Below are 26,522 nucleotides of genomic sequence, written 5' to 3'. Positions count from 1 at the left end.
AATTCACTCACTATCATGAGAACCGCATGGGGGAAACTACTGCATTGATCCAGTCACCTCCCACCAGCTCTATCCCTCAACACCTGGGGATTACAGTCAAGATGAGATTTAGGTGGGGACACAAAGCCTAACCATATCAGGAGGGGTGTGTTAGTTGAGCAGACACAGAAAAGCAAAACATTTGAGCCCAAGAGTGGAACCCATCCCTTATAAGGAGAGACCACGATGTGGGGAAAGTCAGTGAAATGGACATATGGCTAAGTTTGTTTAGTGTTTGAAAATGTCACCGAAGTCACTTTTTAATAATGAAAAATATGTGGATTGAAGAGTTTAAAAGAGAAGTATGCCCAGATGTTATTTTAAAAATTGGAGTGTATACAAAGGGCCCCCAAATCTAGGCTGCCTTAGTATTTTTGCCCCTAGCTTTGTTTTCCCTTAAGTGATGTCAGGAACTGCCAGTGTTGGCCTCTGCATCTCCAAAACTGAAGACAGCTTAGTTCACTCGGTCTCGTCATTATTGTTTCATGAAAGCATGTCGTTGGGAGATCTGGGCTCAGACCTAAGATTGAAACAAAAAAGGAAAGAGAAAGATAAGAAAACCGTCTCATTTTCAAAAACCTTCACAAACCCCACGTTTTATTAAAATATAAACCATTTGAAGAAAAGCCAGAGGAAAATAGAGGAAATGGGGTATCACTGAATGAAGCAGAAGCTAAAGGATGATCATATAAATTGTCTCAAATAGCAGGTCAGGAACCAGTGGCCTGTCACCATGAAAACAAAGTTAGGGGAAATAGACAAATGAAAACAAGTGAGTTTACATTATTCCTAAGAACTTTCTGCCGGTGAGAAAATAATGGAACGACGTGTAGTCAGCATACACACAGGAATCTATATTTTGTAGGTTATATTTCAAAGGATTCATGTACCCTGAAAAGAACTGTTGACTGTAGGGTAAGTTAACACCAGGGGGTGCTGGGTGCAGGCACATTGAATCTGAACTACTGGGTTGCCATTTTAGACTGTTACCATCATCACTGTTACCACACCTGTAGTTTAGGTCATTAGATAGGTGTGGAAATGAAGCCTGGCTCCTTATCAATCGAAAGCCTATGCTCTTACCAAATACACTATGCTATTTAATATTGGTAATATTAGTGAAATTTAGCCGTTTCAGAGTTTTCCTTCTTTCCCCAAAGCATCATTTGTCAATGTTTGTTAACATACGACACTTAATGTAATCCTCATAAACAAAGTGGACACCCTCAAGTTGTTTTCTGGGATTTTTACATAAGCATATGGTCCTTGAGCAATGATGGTTTGACTTTACTATGACAATATTTGGCTTTACCGTGGTGTGAAAGTGATATGCATTCAGTAGAAACCATACTTCAGATTTCAAACTAGATCTTTACCCGGGCTAGCAATATGTGGTTCCATACTCTCTTTTGATGCTGGGCAGAGGCAGCAAGCTGCAATCCCCAGTCAGCTACACTGTCACGGGGGCAAACAACCGGTACTCTACAATGCATTGTGTTGCCAGCTTTTTTTGGATGTGATTTTGCCCAACTGTAGGCTAATGTGAGTGTTCTGAGCACATTTCAAGTAGGCTAGGCTAAGCTATGATGTTCAGTATGTTAGAGGTATTAAATGCCTTTTGACTTGTGATATTTTCAACTTACAATGAGTTTCTCCAGACATAATCCCACTGTAAGTCGAGGAGTCGCTGTATTAACAACGGGTAGACTGAAAACACCGATGTGCAAACCTGGTTCAGTACGGATGGGGTGGACATCGGCATCAGGGTTCTTGTGAATATTCCCCGGGAACATGGGGAACGTGGTGTTGTGAAATCTAGAGCTGGCCAGGAATTTCCGGATCCTTACCTCCAGCTTTCCACCCCACACAGGGGGTCCCCCTGGAGCCACCTGCCTACCTGACTGCTTATCTTCCAGCCTCTGTCTGAGCTTCTCTAGGTAACTCCTACATCCAGGGCAACTAATTTCCTGGAGCAACAGAAGAGCCTTCCTTGTATTGAGACAACATGCATGGTCTCCCTGCAAATGCTGCCTCTCTGCTCCTACATCTTCACATTTTAGTGTAGAAAGAGCAATCGTGGGTGAGAATTTAAGCACAAGTGTTTAGTTCAAAAGACAGAAAATTGGCCACGCATGGTGGCTCAAGCCTATAATCCCAGCACTTTGGGAGGCCAAGGCGGGCGGATCACGAGGTCAGGAGATCGAGACCATCCTGGCTAACACGGTGAAACCCCGTCTCTACTAAAAATACAAAAAATTAGCCGGGCATGGTAGTTGGGCGCCTGTAGCCCCAGCTACTCGGGAGGCTGAGGCAGGAGAATGGCGTGAACTCGGGAGGCGGAGCTTGCAGTGAGCCGAGATCGCGCCACTGCACTCCAGCCTGGGAGACAGAGCGAGACTCCATCTCAAAGAAAAAAAAAAAAAAAAAAAAGACAGAAAATTTTAAAAGCATCAAAACAGCCGTTACAGAGAGGGAAAAAAAGTTCTTAAGTATCTTAGAACTGCTTCATTTCAATAGATGTTGCAATAAGCTGACTTCTATATGACTTATAGGTCCCGAATCATTGATATTTATGTTTGCAAATTTGTGTGTTTTGTGTAAATGAGATCCCAGAACTACAACATAAACTTCTAATGAACTCTGTTTCTATACCTATGTGGATCCTGAGAGGTGCTCAAATATGAGAGGCTGTTTCTCTTAACCTCCTATTCTGCTTAAAATCATTTGTCTTTACTTGTACTTTTTTTTTTTTTTTTTTGAGACGGGGTCTCGCTCTTTTCGCCCGGGCCAGAGTGCAGTGGTGCGATCTCAGCGCACTGCAAGCTCCACCCCCCGGGTTTACGCTATTCTTCTGCCTCAGCCTCCCCAGTAGCTGGGACTACAGGCGCCCGCCACCGCGCCCGGCTAATTTTTTGTATTTTTAGTAGAGACGGGGTTTCACCGTGTTGACCAGGATGGTCTCAATCTCCTGCCCTCGTGATCCTCCCGCCTCAGCCTCCCAAAGGTCTGGGATTACAGGCTTGAGCCACCGTGCCCGGCCTACTTTAACTGGAGAATTCATTCTTCCAAATGTGCTCATTCATGGTTTTATTTTATTTTATTGCATTGGATTGTATCATTGCATCTCCTACCTGTGCATTTTAAGAGTTTCCACTTCAAACTTTGTTTCATTATGAGGTAAACCTTAAAAAATAAAGCCTGTTTTCTGGAGTGCCACAGACATTTTGTCAGAAGAAAATGTGACTGTCCTTTAATCGGGCACTGTTTTATGCACATAATACAAATGATTTCTGCATGCTTATCAGATCTACTTGTGGGCTTATAAATTCACTTCATCCTGGCATACGTAGTGAAGGACATTCCTCTGTGCCCTGTCAAGAATAATCAAGCTTTTAAAATCAATTCCAGTGGTGATAAAAATAACGAGGATGGTTTGTGAAAAGGGACAAAAACTTGGTAAAAATAACATTGAAGGATTTACAATATACAGAGAGAAAGTGAACCATCTCTTTGAAAATAAGTGTAAAAAAGAAAAGTGTATCTAATATTTTTATTGATGCATAAGCTATGAAGAGAACTATCAATGTTTCTGTCTTGCTCTAAATGAGATATGACTGGTGGGATCCCAGATCATTTGATTATCCGTTTGCAGACTGCTCTGTTTATTTAAAACATAATTCACTCTCTCATTCTATAGATGGACTTACTAGATAGGAGTCTGTGCTTTATAAGTGAAATTAACTTAGATAATTTTTTTTTTTTTCTTTTTGAGATGGAGTCTTGCTCTGTCGCCCAGGCTGGAGTGCAGTGGTGCGATCTTGGCTCACTGCAAGCTCCGCCTCCCAGGTTCATGCCATTCTCCTGCCTCAGCCTGCTGAGTAGCTGGGACTACAGGTGCCCGCCGCCATGCCCAGCTAATTTTTTTGTATTTTTTAGTAGAGACGGGGTTTCACCGTGTTAACCAGGATGGTCTCGATCTCCTGACCTCGTAATCTGCCCATCTCGGCCTCTAGATCATTTTAATGACAACTGATAAAGAGATAATCAAATGATAACCTGTTTTTCTCAGTGATAGAAATATGTGATGGAAAGTATCTGAGACTAATGAAAGACATGGAAACTAATTTACCGATGATCCTTGGATACTAGTTATGGAAGTATACTTATATTATCTATGCAAATATACAAGGTCTTTTGAAAACCTTTTACATGCCCAACGCCAAATATATTAAGTGAAGCTACACAATAAGATACTGTAGGATCAGTAAACAGGTATTGCTAACGTTTGTAGCAAAATCCTGTTGATCCACATTGTTGGGTCTTTCTTGGTATGGTCTAGTGAGATATCAGTGCGTGTGTATATATGTATCAGTGCATTTTAGTTCATTTTGTGTTGCTATAACATAATACTGGAGGCTGACAAATTAAGAAGAGGTGTTTGCTTGGCTCACAATTCTGATGGCTGGAAAGTTTAAGATTGAGCATCTGCATCCAGTGAGGGCCTCAGGTTGCTTCCACTCATGACAAAAAGCAGAAGAGAAGTGCGCATGTACAGGGAGATTACATGGTGAAAAAAGGAAGCAGCTGGGCATGGTGGCTCACGCCTGTCATCTCAACACTTTGGGAAGACGAGGTGGGCAGATCACGAGGTCAGGAGATCGAGACCATCTTGGTCTCTACTAAAAATACAAAAAATTAGCCGGGCCCGGTGTTGGGCGCCTGTAGTCCCAGCTACTTGGGAGGCTGAGGCAGGAGAATGGCATGAACCCGGGAGGCAGAGCTTGCAGTGAGCTGAGATCGCACCACTGCACTCCAGCCTGGGGGACAGAGTGAGACTCCGTCTAAAAAAGAAAAAAAGAAGCAAGAGACAAAAGCCAAATAAGCCAGACTCTTTTTAACAACATACTCTCTCAGGAATTAATTCCCGAGAGAAGGGGAATGCACACCTGAGGGAGGGCATTAATCTATTCATGAAGTATTTTACCCCGTAACCAGAAAAACTTCCACTTGGCCCCACCTCCCAACACTGCCACACTGGGGATAAAATTTTAGTATGGGTTTTGGCAGGGACAAACCACATCCACACCATAGCAGTAAATATTGATATACAGTTGACCCTTCAACAACATGGGTTTGAACCGTGCAGGTCCACTTACATGTGGATATTTTTCAGTAAAACTTACACTGGGTGTGCCTGCCTCTCCTGCCTCCCCTTCCACCTTCTCCACCTCTCCCACCTCTGCCACCCCAGAGACAGCAAGACCAACCCCTCCTCTTCCTCAGCCTACTCAATGAGAAGATGATGAGGATGGAGAACTTTGTGATGATCCACCTCCATTTAATGAATAGTGCTATGATATGGATATTTATTCCCTTCAAACCTCATGTTGAGATTTGACCCCTGATGTTGGAGGTGGGGCCTAGTAGGAGGTATTGCGTCATGGGGGTGGATCCATCATAAATAGGTTAATGCCATCCCTCAGGGGTGAGTGAGTTCTCACTCTGTGAGCTCCCTCCAGAGCTGATATTTAAAAAGATTCTGGTACCTCCCCTCTCTCTCTCTGACTTCCTCTGTCTCCATGTGATCTTCACACAGTTGGTTCCCCTTTGCCTTCCACCATGAGTGGAAGCTGTCTGGGGTTTTCACCAGATGCCTAATCTTGAACCTTCCAGCTATCAGAATTGTGAGCCAAATAAACCTTTTTTCTTTATGAATTATTACCCAGACCTCTGTATACTGTCATAGCAATACAAAATAGACTAAGACATATAGTAGTATATTTTCTCTTCCTTACAATTTTCTTAATAACGTTTTTTTCTCTAGCTTGCTTTATTGTAAGAACACTGTATTTAATACAGATAACATACAAAATATGTGTTAATTGCCTGTTTTTGTTATCAGTAAGGCTTCCAGTCAATAGCAAACTATTAGTAGTTAAGTTTTGAGGGAGTCAAAATTTATACATATATTTTTAACTGTGTGGGGACTGGACACTGTGGCTTTGTTCAAGAGTAAACTAAATACATAGAATCTCATCTTCTGAATATTATAAACATTATTAGACGTGTCTTTCCTCAAAGGTGATTATTCTATATAGTGATTTGGTTTGGAGGTAGAAAAAGTGCAGAGAAAATTTAAGCAAATATTAAACATCACTTTTTCTTCTATACACTCTATTTTTCTTACTGACAGAATTTTTCTGGAACATTTAACAGTATCTTCTAACAGGTACCTCTCTCACCCAACTTGTCCTCAAGTAATCCCCCTACCTCAGTTGAGCTGTATATGGTGGCTCACACACCTGTAATCCCAGCACTTTGGGAGGCCGAGGAAGGGGGATTACTTAAGGATAAGACTTCAAGACCAGTCAGGACAACATAGCAAGACCCCATCGCTGCAAAAAATTAAAAAAAATATTAGCCAAGCATGGTGGTGGACACCTGTAGTGCCAGCTACTCAGAAGGCTAAGGCAAGTTGATCACTTGGGAGCAGAAATTTGAGGTTATAGTGAGCTATGATTGCACTAATGAACTCCAGCCTGGGTGACAGAATCAGATGCTGTGTCTTAAAAAACAAACAACAACAAAAAACGTTGGTTTGAAATTTGACAAAATGTTCTGCATTCACATTTAGAATAAACGTTTTATATGAGGAAGTTAATATGTCATTTTCTATAATTAAATACAATATAATGTGGGTTTAAAATTTCATTCTGATTCTTATTTTGGCATCATTAAATATCATTACTCGATCTTGATATTTAGAAGGTTTCAGAAGCCAATTACTAGTGCCTCAAAAACTCAGTACTGTGGAAATGACATATCATTGGGTTCTGGTAATGAGGAATGACTATTTTTCTTTGGATGTTACTATCAAAACATTTTTATAGGCATCTGGAAAATATCTGCCTGATTAAAGAGCTGTGTTTTAAATGCTCAAGATCACGTGTGCTTTTTTCTTCCCTGTGTTCCCCAAGCAAATGGAATGCCATCTGGATTCTAGATTTGGCTTTCTCATGTAATGGATGTGAGACCCTGAGCTAGTTACTTAACATCATCAGGCTTTCTGGAAAGTGAGGATAGGAATGCCTGAATATTGAATTTAAAATATTCAAGTTAATCATGTATAAACTATAAAGATTTTTGAAATATAAAATATGCATCATTTCATTCACTCACTCACTCATTCTTTTATTTGTTAATTCATCCACCATTTACTGAATGCCTTCTGTGCACTAGGTACTGGGCTTGGTGCTACCTACTGGAAAATTAATAAAACATTGTCTTTAAGGGGCTCACAATGTAATGGGGGAAATCACCAAGAAAATAAACAATTTCAATACCATGTGTCAAGTGTTAAATTCCAGTACAACATGTTGGTGGTTACAAAAACGTAAAAACAAAAATGAAATATTATGGGAGCAGAGATTACACTTAGTATCCTCCAGAAGGTTACCAAAATCCATTTTATATTTTACATATAGTTTGTTCTGTCATCTTCTAAGAATACCTAAAAATAGGAATTACCTCTATAATTTTAAAAAATAATTTAGTGCAATACAGCATAGGAGGAGAGTATGTCTCCCTCTATGTGAGTGGATAACCGTCTCTGTAATATATACTTTTCTGAGATTTGTTACTCATATTCTTTACTCAGTACTATATTCAGTACACAATGGAATTCCTGTTACTGTTGACTAGATGACTGTCGAAATTGGCTCATTTCCCCAAAATTGTCCACAAGGTGAAGGACTTGAGGGGTCCCTGAAAGGCTAGGTCCACAGAAGAACTTTCCCCATGGTACTGGCCAGGGGAAAACATTCCTAGTCAGAGACAAGTATTTCCAGGATTTAAACTATCTTTCCATTTTTGTAAGAATGATAGCTGCCCTTTCCCCTGGATCTTGCACCTAAGTAAGACTTAGCAGAAGCAGTCTAATTTTATTGTTTGCAGTTATGTTCTAAAATGTTTTTAATTCGTTTAATCCAACAATTTGTCGCATTAAAAAAAAAAAAAAAAACTAACAATCAAAACAAACAGCCAGGCATGGTGATGCATGCCTGTAGTCCCAGCTACTGGCTACTAAGGACACTGAGGCAGGAGGATTGTTTAAGCCCAGGAGTTTGAGGTTGTAGTAAGCGTTATGACATCTGTAAATAGCCACTGCATTCCAGCCTGGACATCTAGCATGACCCTGTCTTAAACAATACCTCTACAAATGACAACAATGACAAGCACCCTGATTCAAGATCTGGGATTTTTTGTTTCCTCCTCCGCTTGGCTTTGCTCTGAGGAGGATAAGTCACGTAACCTGTTGGGCCTCAGTTTTGTCATATGATAAATGAGAAAATGGAACTAGGTGATCTTTCATGAACCTTTTATTTTTAACAGTCTTGTTTTAGTGATCCTATGACTCTGTCACAGAATGTTAAAAAAAATAATTCAGAAGAAAAATTTACAGGTTGAAATGGATTTGAGAATTGAAGCATGAATTGCTGGCAGGTGTTTGCAATATACTTTTGGGTGCAAACGGATGTGTTATCTTGGGAATGAAGAGTGAGAAGCATTTAGATATCACAGTTGTTGGCTAGAAGAGGAAGGATTGGTTAAAAAATTAAAGGTATATTTGGTTAATGATATATATGTAAAAATCTTATTTGTTTGCAAAGAGTTAGACACATCTGAATTTTCTTACATTATACATTGTAATGCAGGGGCCTTCTTGCAGGGCCTTGGGATGTGTCCTGTACACAAATAACTGATACCTCCTGAAACCTTGCATCAGGGGAATCCTGGTGGATTTCCACATTATCACCACAGGCCTTTCAATATAAAATGCTGATTTGAATGACATACTGTCATTGAGTTGATCTCTAAAAGTTGCTGGAAATTTTCAGAAGAACTTGATCCTCAGATACTACATATGCCCTTTCCAAGGCATAAAAGGTAAGTCCAGTGGTACTTTCATAAAAGCACTGCTTAAATATATAAACAAAAACATTTTGTGGAGTTCTACAATCTAGAAAGAAATGTGACTTGTGCTGTTTCTTCTTTTATTTTTAAAATCCACCAATAGAAACTGTCCCTAAGAGGCTTTGTCCTTTAATCCTAGCTGATTGTTAAACGGTTTGTTATTAATATCTTACAATTCAGTGCAGATGGTTTTGAGCAGTGATCAGATGAACAAAGATGCTTAGTGATGGTTCAATTTCCGGGTTGGATTTGCATCCTAATCTTAGTCTTAAAAAAATTAGAAAGCTGTTTCCACATGAGCTGTATAATGTTTTACTTTTTTACTACAATTGCTGTAATACTTCAGTCCTTAAGCATAGAAAATAATGCCCATTATTATATTGGGTGAAATGAAAGCTTTTTAAGTGTAAAACATGTAATTGTAGTCTCAAAACTATTTATGTGGCATCAATTATGGTGAAATTAGTTCATGAAGGTAGGTGAAAATACATAAACATTGTGTATATGCTAATTCATCTAGATAAGAATTTTCATGTAGATTTGGTCAGCTGTGTTAGATTTAAATGTAGTTTCAGATCTGGTTCAGATGGAAAGTAGATGAAGCTGCCAACCTTTGGCAGCAGCACACAGGTGGAATAGCTGAGATAGAATAGGTGATTGGTGAAGAAGATAGAAACATTTCTAACACATAGAAGATTTCAGGACAGTGAGTGTGGCACATTCTAGATGTTTCCCACACTGCAGCAATGGGAGATATACAGATCTTCCTCAGTAAACCCCTATTTCTAGACTACGTGAGTTTCCAGTTGAATCAGATTTGAGAAATGCAGTGTGCTAAAGGCAGCTCTTCTTAACTCCCTCTGTGAACCCAAGGAATCTGTCTCATTCATTGGAAGGGTCTAGGAAGGGAAGAGAACTCTTTTTTTTTTTGAGACGAAGTGTCACTCTGTTGCCCAAGCTGGAGTATAGTGGTGTGATCTTGGCTCACTGCAACCTCCAATGCCCAGGTTCAAGCAATTCTTCTGCCTCAGCCTCCTGAGTAGCTGGGACTACAGGCACACGCCACCATGCCTGGCTAATTTTTGTATTTTTAGTAGAGACGGGGTTTCACTATGTTGGCCAGGCTGGTCTTGAACCCCTGACCTCATGATCCGCCCACCTCGGCCTCCCAAAGTGCTGGGATTACAGGTGTGAGCCACCATGCCCAGCTGGAAATAGAACTCTTACAATTTTTCTGAGTTTATCTCTTTACATCAGCTGCCTCCTTACTGTAAACCAAAAAATACAAGTCTAAGCCCCCCAGCTGACTGAATGGACACACCCTCTTGGCCAAAGGGACCCAAGGAAACCTGAAAAGGTAGTTCAGGCCATGACAGGAACAGAGGCCATCAGACATGTCTCATTATACACTCTGCCTTTTGGAGTTTAGACACGACTGAGCAGCATTAACATTAAAATAGAGATCCTAAGATGGACAGAAAGATTCTTCATAGCAATAAGATACCAAATTCCAACCTAACTTTAGTATAATATCACATAACAGATAAAGAAGGAAATCAAAATATTTTACCCCAAAATATCTTTCCTTGCCATATTTTGGAAATGGTTCTGCAAAGCTGTCTTTTGTGGGGGAAATTTTGCACCTGTAAGGAATCCCTATTAACATAACTAGATCTTTCATCTTCCAGGCCCTCCCAATCCTGAAGAGATTAACAGAGAGTCTAGCACCTTTTAAAAGTCTGAATGGGAAACATTTGCTATCTATTGTCTCTAAGGGCAGCCACCTATGAGACTTCATCTACATAATAAGAACCTCAGTCTCCACAACCCCTTATCTTAATCCAGACAGTTTCTTTCTACTGATTCCAGGTCTTTAGATAATAATTGGTTGGAATAATTGACAATTCCAACCAATTGTCAATCAGAAACTCTTTGAATCCACCTATAACCTGTGAGCAACACCCCCAACCACTTCAAGATGTCCTGCCTTTCTGGACTGAACCAATGTATACCTCGCATGTATTGATTGATGTCTTATGTTTCCCTAAGACGTGTAAAACCAAGCTGTAACCCAACCACCTGCAGCTCATGTACTCAGGACTTCTTGAGGCTATGCCTCAGGCCATGGTCATTGGTATTTGGCTCAGAATAAACCTCTTTAAATATTTCAGTTTGGCTTTTTTCATTAACACTACACTTTTTAAGTTTGACCTAAAGGTTTCTCTGTACATAGTGAACTGTCATCTAACTGGACGTGTAAAGGGACTGTAATCTACACTGTAACAAGTAGCTGAGTCTCAGCCAATCACAGCATCCCAGTTTCAGCCAATCACTTGCATCCAACTATTCAAACTGAGCTCAAATAAGCCTGTAAGCAGCCCTGCTGTTTCTGTGCCTCTCGTCCCTTTTGTCTACCTCACTTTCCTTTTTCTGTCCATAAATGTTATCCCAACCATGTGACAGTCCCTCAGTTACTCTGAACATATTATGGTTCTGGAGGCTGCCCAATTCTCAAATCATTCTTTGCTCAATTAAACTCTGTTAAATTTGTCTAAAGTTTTTCTTTTAATAGCTACTACTACTCTAGAGAAATATCCACAAAGACGTAATGTGTTTGTTCGGAATACCTTGTTGAATGGAAAGAAGGGTCTGTCCTAAGGGACAATTGCAAGGATTGAGACACTTGGTGGCAATTTTGAGGAAAAAGCAATTTTTTTTTGAGATGGATTCTTGCTCTGTCACTCATTCTGGAGTGCAATGGCGTGATCTCGGCTCACTGCAGCCCCTGCCTCCCAGGTTCCAGTGATTCTCCTGCCTCAGCCTCCTGGGTAGCTGGGATTACAGGCGCGTGCCACCATGCCTGAGTAATTTTTGTATTTTTAGTAGAGACGGGATTTTGCCATGTTGGCCAGGATGGTCTCAAACTTCTGACCTCAGGTGATCCGCCCACCTCCGCCTCCCAAAGTGCTAGGATTACAGGCATGAGCCACTGCGCCCGACTAGTAAAATATTTTTGAGTAGATGGCTAAACAGCAGAAAGCCCTGGGAGGCAGGACGGCCCAGAGAAAGGATATTGGTTGAGCTGAGTGTCAGGCCTGGGGCTCGGTGTTGGTGTGGATCTGGGATCCAGATACCAATGACTAGCTGGGTGATATCGGACATTTCCTATAGGTAGGACTAGTATTTTGGTAGGGTTCTTTTCATTTGTAAATAACGTCAAGAACTCAAAATACCAAGCGTAGGGCTTGATGCTCCATGGATCCTCCATAAAGCAAGACTCTTTGCTTAGCTTTTCATTATTTCATTCATTTCAGCATTTATGTCAGTGTGTAAAGGATACAGCAACCTGTTGACTTAGCCAGCACATTTTCTCAGCTTAGATACTGGTAGTTAACAGTATTATTTATCTCGTCTTGCATGATGTACCTCTAAGAGGTTTGTTCATCACCACCATTTCACCACAGCCCTTCTCCCTGTTAGCTTAGCTGGGGTTTCCAAACGTCAATATAACAGATTAAATTTCTTTGTTAAATATGAAGGTGAGTGAGCTGAAGTATGACTTGTCCCAAAATGTAACACCTTATGAGACAGGCCTAGAACCTAGGTCTTCCATACCCTTTCATGCTGCCTGAGTATCTCAGTGTGGTTGGCAGCCTATTAAAACACAGACATAACTGATTCAACTCAGGGTCACAAATGTACATATCAGGGAACTTTGTTTTATTTCGTTTGGTCATATGGATGCTGAGAGAAGGTAGTGTAAGGACCACTGCTTACCGTTCTCAGCTGTTCTCTTCCTAAGCGCAAGTAGTGGGACCCTCACAGCCCTGGATGCATTGTTGTTTTTTTTTATCTCGAAGTAAATGACTGAAGAATCAGCAGGAGTTTTCCAGAATGAAAATGTAATACCTTGGTCTGTTTGGAACTCAGTCAACACCTTAGGAATGTTCTGCCAAGCTTGTTTATGTTACAAATTAAATGTATGTATCTTTAATATTTTTGTTGTTGGTATTCTCTCAAAACAAGAAGATAAATGACATTTTTAATGTTTTTTTTGAGACAGGGTCACACTGTGTTGCCCAAGCTGAAGTGCCATGGTGCAATCTCGGCTCCCAGGCTCAGGTGATCCTCACGCCTCAGCCTCCAGAGTAGCTGGGACCTCGGGCGCACACCACCACACCCAGTTAATTTTTTGTATTTTTGGTAGAGATGGGGTTTCACCATGTTGCTCAGGCTGGTCTCGAACTCCTGAGCTTAAGTGGTTTGCCCATCTTGGTCTCCCAAAGGCTGGGATTACAGGCATGAGCCACCGTGCCCGGCCTTGTTTTACCCTATTTTGATTCTTCCATGGCTTTTGGAAAATGCACTAGATTTTTAATTCTTTGGGCCACTCTCAGATAAAATATCGCTGTGTACTACTATTGACATGTTAATTTGTCTTCTAACGGACAATTATATATCCCAAAGTCATGCCTACCTAATGGTACTTTAAAAGGACTAATTTGATGATCACTGTTGAGGATGTAGAAAGGCTGTGACCCTGGCCTTTCAAACACATTCTATTCAATTTTGCAAATTGAGAAGGAAAGTAAGAGGAGAAAGAAAAAAACTGCTGTAATAAAATTGGAAATTGTTTCAGGAAATTGCACGTGCTATTGAGATCTTTCTCTGATAATTTAGAAAAGGAAATACAAATTCTATTATATATTTTATATTGTACATATATATATTTTTTTTTTTACTGGTTTATTTTCAGTTGAAGATTAATTACATCCAGGATTGTAAATTGCTCACGGGTCATTACCAGTCACCTACTGTCTTGCAGCAGAGCAGGAAATCAGATGTGGGCGCTTTAAGATGAGCTGGTTTAGCGTTCACTTACTTAAAGATCAGTACCAAGCCGAACCCCCTTGGGAGGAGTCGATGGCTCATTTGGCCCCATGGGGAGGGCGGTAATTAAACTCTGAAGGCAGCCCTGATGTTCAGCTAAAAGCTGGTCTTTAAATAGTAATACACTCGCCTTGTAAAGTGCTAGGCCCTCGGGTGGCTGTTGACACAGTGCGAGGAGCTGGCGCTTTTTTCTATAAAAGCCAAATTGAAGAAACTGTTATGAACTCATCTGCATAAAGCAATATGATTTTGCCTGAGGGTGCAGGCAATGGGGAGTGATTAACCAACCGGCTCTCTCCCCGCTCCTCCGCAGCTCTGCTAACATGCCACTTGTCACTAAAAAATTGGAGACACCATATGCCAGGCTGCCTCTGCTGAGCGCCCCTTACTGATGCCACGCGAGGAATCCCTCCCCAATTTGGGGGGCTGCGGGACACTGCGCAGTGTCTGTCTGTAGAGGAAATGCTGCCTGCCTGCCTTCGTCTTGCTCCCTGCCTTTCTCAGCAAGGACATTCCATTGTTCCAGGGAACGTGGCAGAGACGTTCTGAGTTTGCTTGAACAATTTGAGGCACATTTGAAGGACAGTGGAAGCATTGCTCCAGAAACCCAGTGTCCAGACATCTTGTTTCCTCTCCTCCCTGTGCTGAAGGCTGGAAGAGGTCCCCTGTGGCTGGTTCTCATGACCTGCCTTTTGATTCCACCGGTGTCTTTGTACTTGTGCAGGAAACTCAGGAGGGCATGCCTTCCTCCTGCAAGCCTTTTATTTCTCCTAAAACCTACTTTGCGTTCTGTCTCCCGATTTTTCTGTGCTCCATTAATTATGCAAACCTCTTTTGATTCAATGTGCAAACAGTGCATTAAGGTTTTAACCTTGAGGAGAATGGTTTTCATGAGGCCTGACAGCTGAATCCCAGGACTTGGAAAAGGAGACGACTGTGTTTGGCTTTTGAAGAATTAGCTTTCACGTCCCTCCGGGTGATAGGTTTGGGTGCAGAGTGGCTTCTGGGCTGATTTGATTATAAGCCACCATTTTGTGTTTCCCTCAGTCACCAGAATTAAGATCTTTCTAACAGCAGGCGTGTAAGAAGCAAGAAAGGAAGGCCGTGGTGTGGGAGTGTGGAGAAAAATGGATTCTAGAAAGGTTAGCAGGCTGTCTTCCTTGCTGCTATTGTGTCTACACCGGGGGACAGTGGGGTCATGTCTGCCTCTGGGCTGTCTTCCCCAGGATAGACAGGGTTGGGGACAGAGAGGACGGTGAGGATTCCCCATGACCAAGGTTGGGCTGCTCTTGGCTCTGTCTTAGTTGCTCTGCTTGATGTTATGAGGGGATTTGGATGGGGTTGACATGGGCCTCAAGAAGAAATGCTTCTCAGCCCCCTTGCCCCCAATAACTGGGGGGTATCAGCCTTTAGAAAGGATCCTCCAGGCTCCCACCCCAGCCCCAGCCCCTGGAGCAAAACCACATTCTCACTAGGCCTCTCCTGAAAAGGGGAAGTGTAAGACGTGACTTCCCTTAGAAAGACCTGAGCTTCTCTTTTTCTATGGGTTTTGGGGTGAGGCCAGCAGTGACTTAATCCCAATAAATATTAAATGAGACATAAATCCAACTTTAGCAAATGTCACCCACAGATTTTTGCTAAATCAAACTTATTTGTATTTTATTTTTTTAAATGGATGAACTTCATCTCGAAGGAATATAAAAAAACTGACAAACCAAAGGCCACTGAGGTCCATGCATGGACTAGGGAGGAAAACCCCATGTATTTACTGCCAGATCCATGCCAGGAGCTGTGCTTGGGCGAAGCCATAGCTGGTGGCATAGGTATTGTCACCCCCTACTCCTCACATGGAAACTGAGGTGGCTCAGAGAAGTCTACATGATTTGCCTAAGGTCAAAAGGCAGGGAAGTGGCTGTTATTTGAATCCAGATCTGTCAGACCCAAAGCCCATGATCTGTTGGCCACTTTGCCGTTTGCTTTGGGCCAGAGTCTGCCTGAGGCCCTGGCAGAGATGTCACTGACTGGGCGGTGGCCCTTTTCCAGATACATATCCCCATGACCCAAGGAAATGCTGCTCACAGCTACCCTGAGTGTGTGGACCCCCAGCTCTCCTGCACAGCTTCCTACTGAAAATATCTCCCCATAGATGCCTTGTGAATCATTTTCCCAAGAAAAGGACTTCTCTACACCTTAACCCTCTTTAAAAATGCTTGTGTCCTAGGAGGGGAGAATGTACCCGCTGAGTTTCATGCAGGGGTCTTGTCAGGGAAGACAGAATGAGTGCCTATGCACTGCCAGGTCCTGGTACCAGATCACATCATTTAAGTATTACGACCAGGTTACTAGGGATTATTTGGATCTTCTTTTGTGGAGGAGGGAACAAAGGCTCGCCAAGGCTGGAAACCCACCAAGGTTTCCCACTGGTAGAGAAAGCCCAGACTGGACCTGACTTTCTGTTCCCAAAGCCCTTGACACGTGGCCACTCCAGTCACTGGTTTTCTCAGTGACAGACTGGCTGGGCTACACACAAGGGGGCTAGGGGCTGAAGCCACTTTTTGAGGTGACTCTTTGTTCTCCCCTCATTCAGTAAGTGTTGGAGGCTGGTGCTCGGAGCCATAGCCAGACCATTGCTGGTGCCAGCTCAATGCCTGCAGTGTGCTGGGATGGTGTGCATATTTCACACATCATCTCACACAATTCTTACCCCTGCCAAGTGTCCCAGGACACCTGTTTTAGAGATGAGGAAACTGAGGTTCCCAGAAAGTCAGTGGCAGGTGCAAAGGTCATGCCTCTTTGTGTGACTTCTCTGTGGTCTGTCTGGTTTCCCATGACATTTCTGGCTTTTATAAACTATTAAAGCACAGACTGAAAGAAAAAGTGGGACTTTGCAGGTGAGGCTGTTTAACGTGCTGGAAGAGTGAATATATGTAAAATTTCGGATATTACAGGGCTGCCTATCCCCAGTGGAGGTTGTCTGGGCAGAAATGATTTCCCTGATTTGTGAAGATTAATAAATATTTTGTAGGTCCTTGGTCAACTCAGGCTGCTGTCACAGAATACCATCGTCTGGGTGGCTTAAACAACAGACATTGATTTCTCAATTTTAGGGGCTGGACATCCACAATCAAAGCACCAGTAGATGCTGTGTCTGCTGATGTCCATGTGGCTTTCAGATGGTGGCCTTCTTACTGTGTCCTTGTATCCCTACATGGCACAGAGCAGAAGGACAGAACACAAGCTCTCATGTCTTTTCATAAGGGCACTAATCTCATTCTTGAGGGCTTCATCCTCATGACCTAATCACCTCTCAAAAGTCCTACCTCCTAATACCCTCACCTACTGGGGTTTATAATTTCGACAAATGAATTTTGGAGAAACATAAACAATAGGTTCCTAAATTTTGAATTCTGGCGCCTATTCTACCTTTTTTTTTTTTTGGAAACTTTTAATTAAATAAAAGTGAATACATGACCCAGTTTTCTTATTTGGAAAAAAGTGACGCAAGTTCAATTTGACTATCAAATGCAAATTGAAAGATAATTTTCATTTGGAAAGGTTCAATTGATAAATATATAACAACAATAAAAATGGCTAAAGTACATTTCCTAGGGTTGTCATAACACATTAACATAAACTGTGTGGCTTAAAAAAATTATTCTCACAGTTCCAGAGGTGGGAAGTTCAAAATCAAGGTGTCAGCAGGGTCGAGCTCTTTCTGAAAGCTCTAGAGGAGGATTATTTTTGCCTCTTCCAGTTTCTGGTGGCCCCAGGCATTCTTCAGCATTCCTTGGCTTGTGGCCGTATCACTTGAATCTGTGCCTTCATCTTCGCAGGGGGTTCTTCTCTATGTCTCTGTGTGGCCTCTCCTCTTCTTACGAAGACACTAATTATTGGGTTTAGGGCTCACCCTAAATTCAGGATGATTTCATCTGAAGGTCCTTAACTAATTACATCTGCAAATACCCTATTTTCAAATAAGGTCACATTCTGAGGTTCCAGAGGACTTTCTTAATTTTGGGGTGACACCGCTCAACTTAGTACAGCTGCTATTCATGTGAAGTTTCCGATGTGACAGACTCTTCCAAGTGATTTGCATATACTTTGCATAGACTGCCTCCCATAATTCCTGTTCTACTCCGTGACCAAGGCTTATTCCTCAATTTCTAGAACCCTGCATGGTGAGTTATTTTCAGCCCACCTGCCTGTATTATGAAGCTTCTCCCCTGCCCTCCTGACTCCTGCTGATGCTGCAGGAAATTTCACCAGTGCGATGGCTCACCCCTCACTTCCAGGTATCCTCTTGGTTAAACCCAACTCACACTGACTAAGAGTTCAACTTGGCACTTACTGTCTATGGAACAGGCATTTTCAAAGTTAAAAAGTTAGCTTTTGAAAGAACAGTGAAAGAAGTGTTCCCCTTGGGTAGGTAGATGAGACAAATAATGAACACAACCGAGAGCAGCAATATTTTATTTACAAATATTTTTAATTATGTAAATTTATATGAAATAAAACTTTTAAACAGGAGATTATGAATAATAATAGTTGTCATTTAATACTTTCGTTGCCTGGGGACAGTCCTAAAATTACTAAAGTAATGCTTGGCGGCTAGGTGACCAGAGACTCATGAGAAGTACTAATTTGATATCCCTTTAGAGGTAAAGGTGGAAGACTGATACCAAGTAGACAGGGTTTGGAGGCTTCCTCAAGCTGGGACTTAGTTTCCCTTGTAGATTTGGGATCCCTGCCCCCCCATTCCTTTCCTCCACAGACTCACTGTGGCTCCCCCTTCCCATGAGGTATGAATAAAGGTGTGAAGAAGGGATGTGTGATTTCCATTCAACCTGACATTCTGCTTAATGCATTCCCCTAGAGGGTCGCTTGTGATAGGACATGACCTACCCCAGATTCTGGTTCTGGGTCATGAGGCCAATGCTCTGTGACCTGGCTGCCCATGTCCTCTTCATCACTTAGCTAAAGGCCACCTGGATGCCAAATGGTGGATCCCAGTGGCCATCATAACATTTCTTGTCCCCATCCCTATAATTGATTGCTGGAATCAGGGAAATGGCAGGACTTCCTAGGACTAAAATGTTTAGGCCTTTGGGGTGTTGGAGGTGAATACATCAGGTTTTAAAAATTTATGGCATTTAGACACACACTGTCAGAGGGAAGAGGAATCTTACTTGTCTGACCTTTCCAGCCTATCAAATATTTTAAATACTTAAACATATTTTGTATGTGAGATGTATTCTGTATTCTTTTTTGAAATGAGCCAGATACATTTTATTTAATGCATTGATTGTTTCCCCTTAAAAATGAATCAGATAAATATCTCAAGGAGCATATATTGTCTTCAGGGAAATGCCACACAGTGTGATCAGCACCACCGCAGAGGCCCGGGTGAGGGGCCAGTATTCAGAAGAGGACACCTACCTGGAGCTCTTTCCTGGGGTCGTTTCTAATATTGTGACATGATGCTGGACTAGGAAGACCTGGAGTCTGGTTAATGGTGCAAATATTTAATAACTAGGATTTTAAGCACTTTGCTCCAAGCCTTCATTTCCTTATTGACAAAATGAGCACCTTAGCCCATTTTGGGTTGCAATCATAAAGTTCAAAAGACTGGGTGGCTTAGAAACAGCAGACAATTATTCCTCACTGTTTTGGGGGCTGGAAGTCTGAGATCAGGTTGTCAGCAGATCTGTCATCTGGGGAAGCCTTGCTTCCTGCTTCCCAGACAGTGCCTTCTCTTTGACTCCTCAGATGGCAGAGAGCAGAGCTGAAGAATAAGCTAACTCTTGCGTCTTTTCTAAGGGCACTAATCCAATTCTTGAGGGTCCCACCCTCACGACCTCACTACCTTCCAAAGGCCCCACCTCCTAATACAATCACAGTGGGAGTTAGGATTTCAACATATGAATTTTTGGGGAGCACAAACTTTCAGTCCATAGCAATGAGCAATTAGAACAATTTGAAAACCATTAATCTAACTTCCACAACATTTGAGAGTAGATGCTGGGCATCCAAATGTGTTTCTTGTGACATCGTTACCCCTAAAAATGTTCTCTTATTACAGTTTCAAATTCATGTTGAATAGGTCATTCCCAACGATATGTATAGATAGCACTGAACATTCATTTTTTGAGATTGAGTATTTATTTTTTGAAACATTCTATATATTTTGAATAATCTTCTTCTGAAATCAGTCAGTTAGAGAACATGTAGGCAGATAGTCTCAATGAAGAAGTGGATCAAAAATGCCATGTGTTTTCAGAAAACAAGTTTCTTTTGTTAAAACTTTGAGTTCCTATTTCTTTTTCTCCATGCTCTTTTGTGTATTTTGCTTGGTTCTTTCTTTGCTTTCAGCCACTGATCTATGCAAGTGACATTCTTTTTGATCATCAGGACTGCAAGTTATCCCAAAATAATGCCTTTTGTTTTAGAGGCGTTGCCACATCTACCAGGTCCAAAACAAATAGAAATTTAAATTTATTCCAAATACTTGTCTTCTACTACTTTCAGTGCAATACATTTTGCTGAATTTGGTTGGATTTCTTCCAAGTCTTCCTAAACATCAATATACTGAAAAATCATTCTTCCTTAAGTATAATATTATTACTTTATTAAAGTTCATTTTAATACATGTAATGACATCACAACTTGTAAAATGTTGACCTTAGGTCTTATATATACTTACGCACTTATATGCATTTATGTGTGTGTATAGACCACACACACACACAAATATACACATATATGTGATATATTAAACATTTTAAAATTCTTGACTCTGAGAAAGGCCTCTATTCTTTTAATAAGGAAATAACTTTCAATTTATGAAGTAAACTAAACCAGAATAAATGGTACAGACAACTATTTATGAAGAGCATTATGTTTAGGATTCTTCTCTTAAAATACTTAAATTTAAGCTTTGCTGTTTATTCTCGTGTGTTTCAAATATGTATTATCTGATGCTTACTAGCACGCACTTTATTTTATTTGTAAACTTACTTTCCACATAGGTCTTGTTTCAGAGAAGCATTTAAATATAGTCTGTTACTAAAGGCTGGCATAAAATAAGTATTGAAATAGAGGCAATTGCAGAAAGTTCTGGACTAGTTATAGTAATGTGAATGCTTTTTTATTGAAAATTTTTATGTTATCTAATATGCAGAAAACAAATGAACAAAAATAAAAATAACAATGGCCTGTAAAATGACATTCATTAGTATTTTGATGTATAAAAAGACTTCCCCTGTATCAAGATTATATTGATATGCAACTGGATTTTCTTCTAACACTTTTATTGTTTTATTTATAACATTTAGTTTTGTAATATGCACCTGTAGTCCCAGCTACTCAGAAGGATGAAAGCAGGGTAATCACTTGAGCTCATTAACTTTGAGACATGCCTGGGCCACACAGCGAAACCCCATCTTTAAAAAAAAAATACCCCAAACAAAAAACCTTTAAAAGTAATATATATGGGATTCCTTTTAATAAAATATTTTCTCTCAGTTGTTAGTTGGTTGGCTCAATATTTGTTGGTGGAGTAATGGCATTAAAAACGGATTGAAGTTGATCGAAGAGGGATCAGGGTTGCACAGAAAGGCTGGGAGGGATGGGGGAGCTCTTTTAGGGCATTTTGGCAGAAAGCAAAGGAGATGCGGGACCCAGTAGCCTAAGCAGCACCCCCTCTCTTTTGTTCATGTTTGTTTATTACCGATCTTTTTCTGATTTATATTTTTAAAGCTCTTATATCCTAGGAAGTTTTGTTTGTTGCCTCCTTCACTAAGCTTCCTACAATGTGGAAGAATTAAGGCCATATTTAGTGACATTAGAACACAGGAAGCAAATAAAACCTGCTTCTCATCCTCCAGAGATTCACAGCGCAGTGTGAGGAGGGGCATGGAGGGACGTAGATGTGGGTAATTAACATCGACAGAGAGATTACGCTGTGTGTGAAAATAGAATCTCTGAGTCCTGTGGGAGCGGAGGGGAGAGAGGAATTGGTTCTATCTGGGAAATCAATGGAGGCTTCTTAGAGGAATTGTTGTTTGATCTGAACTTTTGCCTTCAGAATCTAGACGGACCTTAATTAATGTTTAGTGAATGGATTAATGAATAGAGTGTTTTTTTGCTTTCTGCTTTTGGGTTGTGTGTGCGAAGGGGAGGTGAGCGGGCATCAAATGTAGGAGGAACGGCCCAGAAGCATGACAGTTGATAATTAGTCATTGTGTGTTAAGAGCTCATTAATTCTAATAAAGATATTGGAGATGGATCATACGTGAAAATAAAGCACCCCAAATGCATAATGCAACTCAATAGAAACAAACTGCTAAAGGCTATCGACACTAACATTATAGTACTATGCAAGTAAGGACAGGTTTTTTGGCCATATTTTTCCATAGCATCTAGGAAAAAATAGAAACGTGAAAATATTTGTGAGTACATGGGAAAATGATTTTATGTTAATAAAGCCATTAGGTAAAACGAGACACACCAGGAATGCCCTGGGTCTTATCTGCATATAGAGACTATGCTTTCATCTTAATGAAGGTATCTGGTCCATATTTTCCCTTTTCAAAAATCTCAGGAATTGTCTTTTTTTCAATTAATAACATCATAATATCCCTTCTCATCTTATAAGAAACAGAGATACACAGGACCAACAACAAAAAACATCCTTGCTCTTGATCTGTCCCTGATTATAAGTGATTTTAGCTGTATTTCATTTCACTGATTCTGTTTGCAAACAGGCTTTCACACTTGTTTTTAAGAAATAAACTCCTTTTCTCAAATAAAATTTCACTGGAAATCCCAATTTTTCTTTTTTTTTTCTTTTTCTTTTTTTTGAGATGGAGTCTCGCTCTGTCGCCCAGGCTGGAGTGCAGTGACACAATCTGGGGTCACTGCAAGCTCTGCCTCCCGGGTTCACGCCATTCTCCTGCCTCAGCCTCTCCGAGTAGCTGGGACTACAGGCGCCTGCCACCATGCCCGGCTAATTTTTTGTATTTTTAGTAGAGACGACGGCGTTGCACCATGGTCTCAATCTCCTGACCTCGTGATCCGCCCGCCTCAGCCTCCCAAAGTGCTGGGATTACCAGCGTGAGCCACCGCGCCCAGCCATGGAAATCCCAATTTTTCTAACAAATCTCAGCGATGCTCTGGTGGACCCGGTGTGGACATCTGGGGTCTGGGCCCTCTCGGCCTCCCCAACCACAAGCTTGTCCCATGGAGACCCCTAAAGCTTGTCTGTAAAACATGGGACTCCCTTAAGTAATCACTGGGCTGTGGTCAGCGAGGTTCCATCCTAGTCCCAAGTTTTGTTCTATGAAAGTCTCTGTCTGGGTTTCTTTTCATCCTCTAAAGGACACGTTTTTCTCTTCATTTTACGAGTTGATTTTCCTTTGTGCTGTTTCATCCTCTACTACTTGACCTCATGAAGGAAAGACGGAACCCAGAGAACTAGGTATTGCCCTTCATTGTGTCTGAGACCCCGAATAATAAATTAGAGCAGAAATGTATCATTGTCTTTCTTCTCTCCTCCTTCCCCTCCCTTGTGCTCCATGTTCCCCAGTCTCATCAAGCAATTCTACCTGAGAGGCCTTAAGATCTGATTTGAACACCACGGCCTTGATGACTTTATTAGCAGGCGGTTCAAGGACCACACTGGGAGGAAAGAAAAACAAAACACAACAGAAAATTAAAATAAAGTAAAATAATACCATTGCTCCAGAATTCATTGTATGGCAAACACAGAAAGCACAATATCAAGGCAAATTTTGATTTCATACTTAAAAGTTGCTCGCTTTTAGTTTTGGGCCAAATTCTGCTTGGTGTCAAAATGGGGAAACCAGAATTGTTTTCAAAAGATGAAATATTTCCCAATAATAATTTAAAACTTGGACATTTCACAGCTTTGTGATTGTTAGAGGAAAGTACTTGGGGGAGTGGCGCATTTTGGTTGAAGCCAACAGCTCCGGGTCCTACAGGACAGCGTGATGGGCCTGCTTAGCTTCCTGCTGTGCTTGGCGTGCTGCTGTGCACGGGGTTAGCTTTGGATTCATACAGATGCTGTCATCTCTTTCAACTGGAAATGAAGGAGCACTAACACCCCATCTCTTGATCAAACACGTGACCTCTGAGTGGAGAGGGCAGAAGGGCTCTCAGGAGTGAGTGACCGATGGGAGAGAGGCTATCCCCAAATTATTTGGCTGTCAAGCAGACCTTTACCCAACTGAGTGGCCCCTGCTCTGCCTCTGTGTCAGACAAACACTACATCCATCCCTTTACTCATTCTCTTGCTCCACTGCTCACTCACTCACCTACCACTTAGCATTTATTGAGCGCTCTCTCTGAGATCCAGAGATGAATTCCACCTGGGTCCCACTTCAGGGCCCTCCAAAACCACATGGAAGGAGGAGGACTACTTCATATAATGCGAAAGGTGCTTGGGAAGCGTTGGTTTGTTGGGGCTGCTGTAAGGAAGTACAGCCAGTGACAGAAATGTATTGTCTTACAGCTCTGGAGGCTGCAATTCTGAGATCAAGGAGTCAGCAGGGCTGGTTCCCTCTGAGGCTGAGAGAGAGTCAATTCCAGGTCTCTCCCAGCTTCTGGGAGTCTTTGGTGTTTGGTGATTTCATCTCTGCCTTCATCATCTCAGGGCATTCTCTCTGTGTGTCTGTCTGTGTCCAAATTTCTCCTATTTATAAAGACACCAGGCATATAGGATTAAGGACCCGTCCTACTCTACTATAATTTTGTTTTGTTTAATTACATCTGTGACAACCCTATTTCCAAATAAGGACAGAGGTACTAGGGATTAGTACTTAAGCATGTGAGTTTTTTGGTGGGGGTGGGGAATATAATTCCTATAAAAGGTAGCATTCTCTCCCAGTAATTTCTTCTTGAGGCATTAGATGTCACAAATAAACAATGTTAGTTTTCTCAGAGTTTAGTTACTCAAGAGTGCTGTCCATTTGTGGACATGTTTGCAAGAGGAGAAGGCAGCACCGATCTATGTCATAAATCAGCCTGCTGTCTGTCTGTCTCTCTCTCGACCTACCTCCCTTCCTCACCACATATTGAATAAATTATACTGAGTGATATGATATTTCAGTAGGCCTCCAGGAACTTTGTTCAGTGAAAAGAGGGTTTGATAAGTTGTTAAACAATAAATTAATCAAAGTGCTCAATGCTAAGGGACTTTCATGGGTATCTCTGTGGCCCATGAGAATGTTCTGGAAAGCCAGGGAGAGAAAAAGATGTTTCTCAAGTCATGAGCTGGAGTCTGAGACCTGAAATGGGAGTAGAAAATCCTCTGCCTTTTCATCCGGAAAGTTTGGAATAAGTTAGGTGTTTTGCAGTTCTAGGAGCATTTATTAAGGGGCATTTCCTAAGTGAGGCAGTCCTGTTCTGGGGATGCACAAGGAGGCACCATGCCTCTGGCCTTCAAAGCTGTCACGGCTGGACTTGTTTTTAAAATTCGAGAGCTTTAAATCAAGTTCAGAAATCATTGCCAAAATTTTCTGTGTCCTCTTTACGCATCCCAAAACTGTATTTCTGTGTCAGCCGTTATATTATGTCCTTACAAAAATTAATAAGACCAAATCTTCACCCTGAATTAGATTAGAATCTACCGGGACCGGGTGCAGTGGCTCACGCCTGTAATCCCTGCACTTTGGGAGGCCAAGGCGGGCGGATCACGAGGTCAGGAGATCGAGACCATCCTGGCTAACATGGTGAAACCCTGTCTCTACTAAAAATAAAAAAATAAAAATTAGCCAGGCGTGGTGGTGGGCGCCTGTAGTCCCAGCTACTAGGGAGGCTGAGGCAGGAGAATGGCGTGAACCCGGGAGGCGGAGCTTGCAGTGAGCCGAGATGGCGCCACTGCACTCCAGCCTGGGGGACACAGCGAGACTCCGTCTCAAAAAAAAAAAAAAAAAAAGACTCTACCGGTCAGCTTTGGTTTTCAAAATCCATTGGTAGAGTATTGGAAAACCTTTGAATCTTAGATGGTTTCACATCACCTCTGTAATGACCTGACCTCTAAATATAAGGTCATATTCTGAGGTTCTTGGGGTTAGGACTTCAACATAGGAATTTAGGGGGTCACAACTCAACCCTTAACAGTGTCCCAGTCGGCATCACAGGAAATCAGTTTCCGCTTCTTCTCCAACCATAAAATCGAACATGCTGATGCCCACTTTCATTGTTTTTCGCACATTTGCTGGCTGAATGTTGGACACTTACGTTTATTAAAGGCATGAGGTTCACCATTCAGAGATGTGATGTAAAGTAACGTCTCAGGCTCAACACTGCACTGCAGTGGGTGTCCTTGTAGGGGCTTCTTTATTTGCCTTGAGAATTGGCCACAGCACTTACCTCCAGCTTCTTGCCTATAAATACTTCTCAACCAAGTAGGTGTTTTTTTCTCCCAAATCATGATCCATGTTGACCTTGCAAGGAGACAAAGTCCTGCTTTAAATACTTTCAGGTGTGGTTGGACCTAGACATCTCTCACTATCTTTGAACCAGTTGGTCACCTTGCTCCATTTAGGTGTATCTGAGGTGCCGCGTCTCTCTACAGTCTCACAACCACCAACCTTTAGCAT

General features: G+C 41.6%; 1 protein-coding gene across 3 annotated transcripts in view, besides 1 other annotated feature; it reads left to right on the top strand.

Annotated features, from left to right (window-relative positions):
- The window catches only part of DSCAM (DS cell adhesion molecule), an 836,160-nt gene that overhangs the window by 284,903 nt on the left and 524,735 nt on the right, over window positions 1–26,522 (top strand). The window lies entirely within an intron of this gene.
- Window positions 13,678–14,287: an enhancer, noted in NCBI's record as "OCT4-NANOG-H3K4me1 hESC enhancer chr21:41919896-41920505 (GRCh37/hg19 assembly coordinates)". NCBI's record gives its function as "activates a minimal SCP1, AML or CMV promoter by ChIP-STARR-seq in primed H9 embryonic stem cells {active_cell/tissue: H9 hESC(primed)}" and the evidence as "EXISTENCE:reporter gene assay evidence [ECO:0000049][PMID:30033119]".

The sequence above is a fragment of the Homo sapiens genome, chromosome 21, assembly GCF_000001405.40.
Source record: "Homo sapiens chromosome 21, GRCh38.p14 Primary Assembly".
NCBI classification, from domain to species: Eukaryota; Metazoa; Chordata; class Mammalia; order Primates; family Hominidae; genus Homo; species Homo sapiens.
Note: the sequence above shows the minus strand (reverse complement) of the source record. Positions and strands in the feature narration are given on the sequence as shown.